The sequence below is a fragment of the Homo sapiens genome, chromosome 16, assembly GCF_000001405.40.
Source record: "Homo sapiens chromosome 16, GRCh38.p14 Primary Assembly".
Lineage (NCBI taxonomy): Eukaryota > Metazoa > Chordata > Mammalia > Primates > Hominidae > Homo > Homo sapiens.
In genome coordinates, this window is record NC_000016.10 from 85,855,220 (window position 1) to 85,864,035 (window position 8,816).

The window sequence follows — 8,816 nt, forward strand, 5'->3', positions numbered from 1 at the left end:
AGCTGATCTTACCTGGGCTCACTTGTGTGGTGGGAGCCACCAAGAAGCTTTCATCGCAGCATCTTCAAATGATGCTAAGAATGTACCAAAGCAGGAGCTCTCCAGCCTTGGAAGTTGCAGGTCATTTCCACTCCATTCTATTGGTCAAAGCATGTCACAGGCTACCCCAGAGGGGCAAGGAGTGGGGGAAATGGGGAAATAGACCTCATATATATATATATATATATATATATATATATATATATATATATATATTTATTTATTTATTTATTTTGAGAAAGTCTTGCTCTGTCGCTTGGGCTGGAGTGCAGCAACGCCATCTCCACTCACAGCAGCCTCCGCCTCCTGGGTTCAAGCTATTCTCCTGCCTCAGTCTATCAAGTAGCTGGGACTATAGGTGCCTGCCATCATGCCCAGCTGATTTCTGTATTTTTTGTAGAGACAGGGTTTTGCCATGTTGGCCAGGCTGGTCTTGAACTCCTGACCTCAGGTGAGCTGCCCACCTTGGCCTCCCAAAGTGCTGGGATTACAGGCATGAGCCACAGCACCTGGCCTGGACTTGACTTTTCTTTTCCTTTCTTTTCTTTTCATCTTTTTTCTTCTCCTCTCCTCTCATCTCCTCCTTCCTCTCTCTCTCTCTCTCTCTCTCTCTCTCTCTCATTCGTTCGTTCTTTCAACAGAGTTTCGCTCTTGTTGCCCAGGCTGGAATGCAATGGCAGGATCTCAGTTCACTACAACCTCCGCCTTCTGGGTTCAAGTGATTCTCCTGCCGCAGCCTCCCGAGTAGCTGGGATTACAGGCATGTACCACCATGCCCAGCTGATTTTTGTATTTTTTGTAGAGACAGGGTTTCTCTATGTTGGCCAGGCTGGTCTTGAACTCCTGACCTCAGGTGAACCACCCACATTGGCCTCCAAAAGTACTGGGATTACAGGCATGAGCTGCCGTGCCTGGCCTAGACCTCATTTATTGATGGGGGGAGCAGGAAAGCCACATGACCAAGGGGCGAGAATACAGGGAAGCATGAATCATGCTGTGGGGAGGGAGTCACTGTTGCAGCAGTCTACCTTGATGACAAGGCCAGTTTCTAGCACAGTCAAGCCTTGACCCCAGGACTCCCGATTTTGCTCCTTCTTGTGACAGCACACCGCTCTAACACTCCATGGGACTTCCTAAAAGCCCCTGGGTTTTCCAGAAGTAAGTATCCCAGCGCCAAGAGACCATGTGTGTCCCCTCTATGCTCGTGACTCTGCCAACCAGTGCTCCTTCCTAGTATCCTGAATTTTAGGAGATGAAGATCTCACACTGAAATGGCCATCTTGTCACCCTGTAGCCACCTATTCCTCCAATGTGTCCCAGGATGGGAGGGTTCCAAATTATCTCACCCTGGGGGGGGGGGGTAGGTGACCCATTAGAGTCAGAGAATAAAATATTTGAACTTCTACTCATATTTCTGCTTGTCTAAGAAGAAAATGAAGTTTGCAGAAGTTTAGAAGTAGGGAGACACCAGCACCCTCGCTTGGTTCTTGCAAGGTTGCCAGATGTCAAGTGTCATGTGCAGGACAAAGAAGACCCTGAGGGTGAAGGGGAAACTCCGCTGTGGTTGCACATCGAGACGTGTGTAGGTTGCACACCGAGACATATGTAGGTTGCAAGTCTGATTTACTGGACTGAGGAATGTATTATCCTAACACAATACTTTCAATAATTTGCAATGAAATAAAACATGACTGTGGAAATAGTTTGCATGGCACAGACATTCACTGGCAGCCTTTCTTAAGGATGAGAGATATTCTTTGTCCTCAAGGCGTAAGTTCCACACTTGCTGAGGGTTTTTTGGCCATGACAAATGGCCTCCTGATGTATGATATAATTTCTCTCCCTAAGGTATATATGTTTTTATCTTATCCCTATATGCTGTACTAAAGTAAGCACACAACCTGTGCCTTTGAGGTAGGAGAAATCCACACTATGGAGAGAGAATTTTGAAAATCGATCGAGTAAGTGTGGGTTATGGGCTAGGTATTGGCTTCCCAAACATCTCATTTAGTCCCCAGGTGAGGTGAGTGCCGATGCTCCGTTTTCCAGATGAGAAAAATGATTCTAACAGGTCCAAAGTAGAGGAGGCAGATCCCCACCAAGCCGGTCCTGACGTCCCCTGAATACCAGGGTTGCTCTCAGCAGGCACACAGACGTAGCCCACGTCTACAGGAGCTGTGACATCATGACAGTCGCCAGGCTCATCCTTCTCTCACACAGGACAGCCATGCCAGGCTTTGCTGTCATCCTGTTGTCAGGAGGAAGAAGCAGGTTTCAGAGACATGACAGGTGCAGCTGGCCTCCACACTGGTGTCGAGTCTCCTTTCTGCCCTTTCGTGTCACCCAAGACCTCACTGCCCTTCTCCTTGTGCAGAAAGGAGGTCCTGGGGTGGCCGGCAGGAGAGGGAACACCTGTCTTAGGTCTCCAGGTTGGAACTGCTCCTGATCACCCCCTCTGTGGGGGGTACTTGAGGGTCTGGAAAGCTCATTCCGAGGGGGAAGAGGGGGGAAATCTGGGGTGCTGAGGAGCCTGTCCCTATTGCCAGGTACGGGTCCACCCGCAGTGGGCTGAATGGTGGCCTCCCACAGAGATGCCCGTTTTCGAACCCCCAGGCCAGAGTGTGATTTGTCTTTGCAGATGTAACTAAGTCAAGCATCTCGAGATGAGATCAGCCTGGATTACCTGGCTGGACCTAAACTAAACAACAGGTGTTTTTTTGTTTTGTTTTTTTGAGATGGAGTCTTGCTATAGTTGCCCAGGCTGGAGTGCAGTGGTGGGATCTTGGCTCACTGCACCCTCCACCTCTCTGGTTCAAGCGATTCTTCTGCCTCAGCCTCCCAAGTAGCTGTAGCTGGGACTACAGGCTTGCACCGCCATACCTCGCTAATTTTTGCATTTTTAGTAGAGATGGGGTTTCACCCTGTTGCCCAAGCTGGTCTCAAACTCCTGACCTCAAGTGATCCAGCCTCCTGGGCCTCCCAAAGTGCTGGGATTATAGGTGTGAGCCACCGCGCCTGGCCAACAGGTGTCTTTATAAAACACCTACGGCCTGGCTCATAAGTCACAGAAACTCAGAATCTGTGGTTAAATTGAAATGTTTCCTAATTGTTTATTGTGTGTAGAACTCCTCCTGGTGGAAAGTCTATCAGGAAATACTCCAACAGCTATGAAGTGTGACTCCTACTAAACCTACAACAATTATCCATGGGCACTGAGCTGTTCCCTAAACTTCATCTTTTCTTGTGAGTCTGTTGGTCATAGCAGACACAAGGTGGTGTATGTGACCAATGGCTCTTGTCTTGGGGGCTGGGAGATCTTCTGTGTTTCTTTTGGTTCCAGATGTTTCTGTCCCAGCAGCCCAAGATGTTTCTTGCTGAACCCCTGTGGGAATGGCAAGACTCGCTAGCTGTCCATGTGCTTCCCACATGTGCATTTCATGTGGCCCCTAGTTAGCAGGTGCTGCCTTGAGATACCACCTGTTTTTCTCTTTTCCCTCTCTCTCTCTCTTTCTTTTTTTTTCCCCAGAGTCTCGCTCTGTCACCCAGGCTGGAGTGCAGTTGCGCAATCTTGGCTCACTGCAACCTCCGCCTCCCAGGTTCAAGTGATTCTCCTACCTCAGCCTCCCGAGTAGCTGGGATTACAGGCGTGTGCCACCATGCGCAGCTAATGTTTTGTATTTTTAGTAGAGATGGGGTTTCACCATGGTGATCAGGCTGGTCTCAAACTCCTGACCTCAGGTGATCCACCCGGCTCAGCCTCCCAAAGTGCTGGGATTACAAGCGTGAGCCACTGTGCCCGGCCCTGCCTCTCTTTTAAGGACCCTGTGGGTACATTGGACTCACCTGGAGATTCCAGGATAACCTCCCCATCTCAGAGTCCTTAACTTTATCCCGTCTCCCTCTCCCTCTCCATCTCTCTTTCCTCTCTTTCCTCTCTCCATCTTCCTCTTTCCCTCCTACACTTTTCCTCTTGTTCCTGCCGTTCATAGAAGGACACGACTTGTCATCCTGCACGTGTGTTTGACGTCTCACTCCCCAGTTGTGTTAGAAACTCCATTTTCTTCCTCATTGCTGTCTTCCTGGGTCCTAGAGAGGAATGTTGGTTGAATTTTCCTCAATGTCTCTCCTTTCATCCTTTCCTTCCACTTCCTGGGCATGCATTTGTCCAATAAGAGAGGAAGAAAGACTGACATCATGCTCTAAACCCAGGGGATTTCCAGCCCGTCTCGGGGTGACACTTATGTGACCATTGAGGTCTCTTTATGTGATGTCTTGCTGTGGGCAGTGCCAGGCCTAGTGGGCTGGCACCAGAGCAGCTTGGGGTTGGGGAAGCAACCTTCCATGAAGACCCTGTTTCCAGGTGGATCCCAGCCCCTTGGCCAAGCCCTGCTCCTCCGCTTGGGTCTCAGGGATGCCATCCACCTTCTCTTTTGCTTCTTCTATTTTCTTGGTGAAATAGCGGCAGGGCCGCGGGGCCGCTGGAGGCTAGGGGAGGGTTGTCTAGGACAGAGGAAGGGCGGGCAGGCTTACTGGGGGCCAAGGTCCCATTGCAGAGGGGGCCCCTCGGTTGTGTTCAGCTGCTGGGCGCCGGGGTGGAGGAGCAGAGTGCTTTTCTTCAGGCCTGGTGTTTGCCAGGCTGGCAAGCCTCTGTGGGAAGAGGTTCCCCTTTGTTTTCTGCAGAGTGCGTGGGAGCTCCCCCTGTGGACTGAGGGTGGCCACATCGGAGGTGGGAGTGAAGGAGCTCAGGGACACACAGGACATCTGGAGTGTTCTCAGTGAACCCAGGTAAATGGCCTCCTGCTTCCTCCACGGCTGTCCTGAGCTGTAATACGATCTCAGGTGGCAATGCCAAGGAGCAGGAGGGGAGGGGGCATGAATGTCCAGGCCCTCAGGCTGTTTGTCCAAGACCCGATCTTCCACTTGGGACCACTGTCTGAACACAGCACTCACTACCCACAACCTCAGGCTGGAGGGCGAGGTGCCATGAGCATCGCAGATGCTCACAGGGCATGTCTGCCATGCACCAGACAGGCAGGGGTTCAGGGGCACATAAGTCAAGAAACCCCAGTCTGCAGCAGGTCCACTGAGGCAGGAGAACAGCAAGGCAGCTCAGAAGTGACTTCCCATTGAGACCTGGGGATTAGGATCCATTCTGGTTTGTCCTTCCCCATGAAAATAGACAATGGGAAAAAACCAGGGACCAAGAGGTTTGCAGGCTGAGTTTCTGTCTGTGCTGTGGGCTGCTCTGACAGGTGTGTCCTCAGAGCCTTTTATGGGCTACGCTTGTGACTCAGGCAGCACAAGGGACTCCCCAGTTCCCTGCATGGGAGGTCCCTCTGACGGGAAGTGGTGCCTGGTATCCAGTTTGCTTTCGTATCAGTTCCTTTTGCATCCAACGACTCCAGTACCTCAAGATGTGGCAGGAAAAGCCCTTCCTAGAAACTTTTGGTGTGTTGGGCCTTTGCTGCTCAGACCTTGTGGAGTGCCTGAGGATCAGTGGGAGAGGGGTGGGTGCCCCTGAGCTGGAAGGCCCCCAGCCAGTGCTGAGGAAATGTGGGTGACACAGAACAGGCAGGTAACAGGCCAGTGCCATTCTCTGCCGGACTTCCACCTCCCCGACGACAGCAGCACTCCGTTGTGTTAGACGCCACCAGGCCTCCTTGGGACCCTGCCTTGGGGTGCTCACGTGGGAGGACTCTTGCCTCTGCTGCTGTCGAGGGGAGCCCTCCCCTCTGGGTCTGTAGGCTGCAGAACACGCCAAGGGGCACTGCAGCATGGAGGCAGGCTGGAAGGTTGGGGAGCAGAGGCTGCAGGGAGTAGAGGGAAAAAGATTTAAAGGAGACTGAAGTAAAAGGAAGAAACCTAATTCAGTAGTTCTCAACAGGGGGTGATAGCACCCCACGGGGGACACTCGCCAATGTCTGGGTGCATTTTTGGTTGTCACAGCTGGTGGTTGCTACAGGCATCTGGTGGGTCGAGGCCAGGATCTTGCTCATCATCTTACAATGCCCAGGGCAGCCCTGCCACAGAGAATGACCCAGCCCCCAATGTCCACAGTGCCCGGGACGAGAGGGACTGATTGGGCTCCAGGGAGTGGCTGAGGCTGGGAGGACACGGGCCTCATTTACCTCCACTTGAGCTCTGCAGGAAAACTCCTCCTTTGACTGGGTATTTCTGCAGTGGAAAAGCCCCATTTTTAATTTTCTTGAGCTGTGACTAGTGGTGCACAATGTGGCCAGTTGGCCTTTGGGTGAGTTTGGAAAATGGAAAGGCTCATATCTGGGCTCTGGGCCCTGACTTTACCTTGTCTATGTGGAGCACTCTCATGCTTGCATTCCCCACCCTCTCAGCTCTCACGGCAGAAGTGGCATCTCGCCGCCTGGGAGCTGTCCCTCAGGGGGTTGGGCCCGCATGGGCTCCTTCCAGCCTTCCATGGGATCTATGGGTGGGCAGAGCACAAAATAGCCAGGTGAGGCTGGGCGCGGTGGCTCATTCCTGTAATCCCAGCACTTTGGGTGGCCGAGGAGGGCGGATCATGAGGTCGGGAGATCGAGACCATCCTGGCTAACACAGTGAAACCCTGTCCCTACTAAAAATACAGAAAATTAGCCGGACGTGGTGGCGGGCACCTGTATTCCTAGCTACTTGGGAGGCTGAGGTAGGAGAATGGCGTGAACGCGGGAGGCGGAGCTTGTAGTGAGCCGAGATCGTGCCACTGCACTCCAGCCTGGGCAACAGAGCAAGACTCTGTCTCAAAAAAAAAAAAAAAAAAAAACCAAAAGAAATTAGCCAGGAGTGGTGGTGGGTGGCTGTAGTCCCAGCTACTAGGGAGGCTGAGGCAAGGGAATCGCTTGAACCCAGGAGGCGGAGGTTGCAGTGATTGGAGATCGCGCCACTGGACTCCAGCCTGAGTGACAGAGCAAGACTCCATCTCAACCCCCTCCCTCAAAACAAAAAAATAAAACAAAAGAAAAGCAAAAAAAAGAGCCAGGTGGGCCTTGCTGTCTTGGCCGACCTCTGCCTTTCCAGGTGAGATTGGGGCCTGCCTGCTGCGGAAGTGAGGAACAGACGTTGGAGCAGGAGAGATGGATGAGGAGAGTCCGGTCTACGTGTTCAAGGAAGCGAAGGGATGAAGACTCACCTGGTGTGGAGAAGAACAAAGAAATCCTGAAAATGTTCATTGGTTTGGCAGTGGAGGGATGGCCACACACGCTCCTGTTAGACTGGGTAATGGGGCAGCTCTTTCTTGGGGGATGAGCAATCGGGGACAGTGGCAGGCCCTGTCTTGGGGTCCACAGTGCTATTTCCAAGGGTAGCAGTAGCTTCCTGGAAGCTGCGGTCTGAGCTGTGCTCCTGGCTGTGATGTTCTCTTCCCACCCATGGGTGCCACTCACGCAGGACCCTGCTCTTGCCATATCTGCCCTGGATGCACGTTTCGGCCACGTGCCGCCTGGAAGCAAAGGATGTAGGTCAGCATTCATGGGAGCAGACAGAGATGGCCCAGGCTACAGGTCCCGGCTGCCCATTGGAGAACGCAGCTTGGAAAGTACACGCTGATGTGGCCGCTGAGAACCAACACCCCTTTGACCATGAGGTCAGACCCCTCTCGGAAGAAGAGAAACTGAGACGCTTGTGATGGGAGAGCTGCCATGAGCTGGCTTGGGGCACGGGGGTGGGGAGGAGACGTCAGGAAAACTCTAAAATTTCTGCAGCATGTTTTGCTTTTGCTCACCTAGATTTAGAGGAATCCTCTGGGAAAATGAAACTGAAATCTTACTTCCCCACTGGCAGCCTCCTGGTGGCCACAGGATATGGACTTGACTTTGGTTATAGGCGTGTCAGTGGTTTCCACTGCATGGTGATTGTTGGGGGTCAGATTTGCCAAGGCATAACTTATGTACAATAAAACCCACCAATTTTATTTATTTATTTATTTATTTATTTATTTATTTATTTATTTATTTATTATTTATTTGAGACGGAGTCTCACTCTGTCACCCAGGCTGCAGTGCAGTGGCTTGATCTCAGCTCACTGCAGCCTCTGCCTCCCGGGTTCCAGTGATTCTTCTGCCTCAGCCTCCTGGGTAGCTGGGATTACAGGCATGCGACACCATGCCTGGCTAATTTTTGTATTTTCGGTAGAGACACGGTTTCACCATGTTGGCCAGGCTGGTCTCAAACTCCTGACTTCAGGTGATCTGCCCTCCTTGGCCTTCCAAAGCGCTAGGATTGTAGGCGTGAGCCACCGCACCCAGCCAGAACCCACTAGTTTTAGGTGTACAATTTGGTAAGTTTCATAACCACCACAATAATGACCTAGAACATTCCCATCATTCCAGAAGGTCCTGTCATTCCCCTTTGTAATGAACCCATGCTCTGTCCCAGTGCCCTGCAAACACAGATCTGCTTTTCATCATTGTTTTGCCCTTTTTAAGAATTGTAGCCAAATGGAATCTTACAGTATTTAGTCTCTTATTCTTTTTTTTTTTACACTTAATATAATGCTTTGAAGAGCCATCTGTATTGTTATATTGATGTTTGTATAAGCAGTCCTTTCCTTTTATTTCTGTGTAGTATTCTAGGGTATGGATATGCCACTGATATGATTTGGCTTTTTGTCCCCACCCAAATCTCACCTTGAATTGTAATCCTCGTAATCCCCACGTATCAAGGGAGAGACCGGGTAGAGGTAACTGAATTATGGGGACGGTTTCCCCCGTGCTGTCTTCATGGTAGTCAGTGAATTCTCATGATATCTCATAGTTTTATAAGGGGCT

At 51.3% G+C, this 8,816-nt stretch overlaps 4 annotated features.

Moving 5' to 3' along the window:
• Positions 1,443 to 1,492: an enhancer, noted in NCBI's record as "active region_11289". NCBI's record gives its function as "activates an Ori minimal core promoter by ATAC-STARR-seq in GM12878 lymphoblastoid cells {active_cell/tissue: GM12878}" and the evidence as "EXISTENCE:reporter gene assay evidence [ECO:0000049][PMID:35858748]".
• Positions 4,153 to 4,272: an enhancer, noted in NCBI's record as "active region_11290". NCBI's record gives its function as "activates an Ori minimal core promoter by ATAC-STARR-seq in GM12878 lymphoblastoid cells {active_cell/tissue: GM12878}" and the evidence as "EXISTENCE:reporter gene assay evidence [ECO:0000049][PMID:35858748]".
• Positions 4,293 to 4,342: an enhancer, noted in NCBI's record as "active region_11291". NCBI's record gives its function as "activates an Ori minimal core promoter by ATAC-STARR-seq in GM12878 lymphoblastoid cells {active_cell/tissue: GM12878}" and the evidence as "EXISTENCE:reporter gene assay evidence [ECO:0000049][PMID:35858748]".
• Positions 5,678 to 6,177: an enhancer, noted in NCBI's record as "H3K4me1 hESC enhancer chr16:85894503-85895002 (GRCh37/hg19 assembly coordinates)". NCBI's record gives its function as "activates a minimal SCP1, AML or CMV promoter by ChIP-STARR-seq in naive H9 embryonic stem cells {active_cell/tissue: H9 hESC(naive)}" and the evidence as "EXISTENCE:reporter gene assay evidence [ECO:0000049][PMID:30033119]".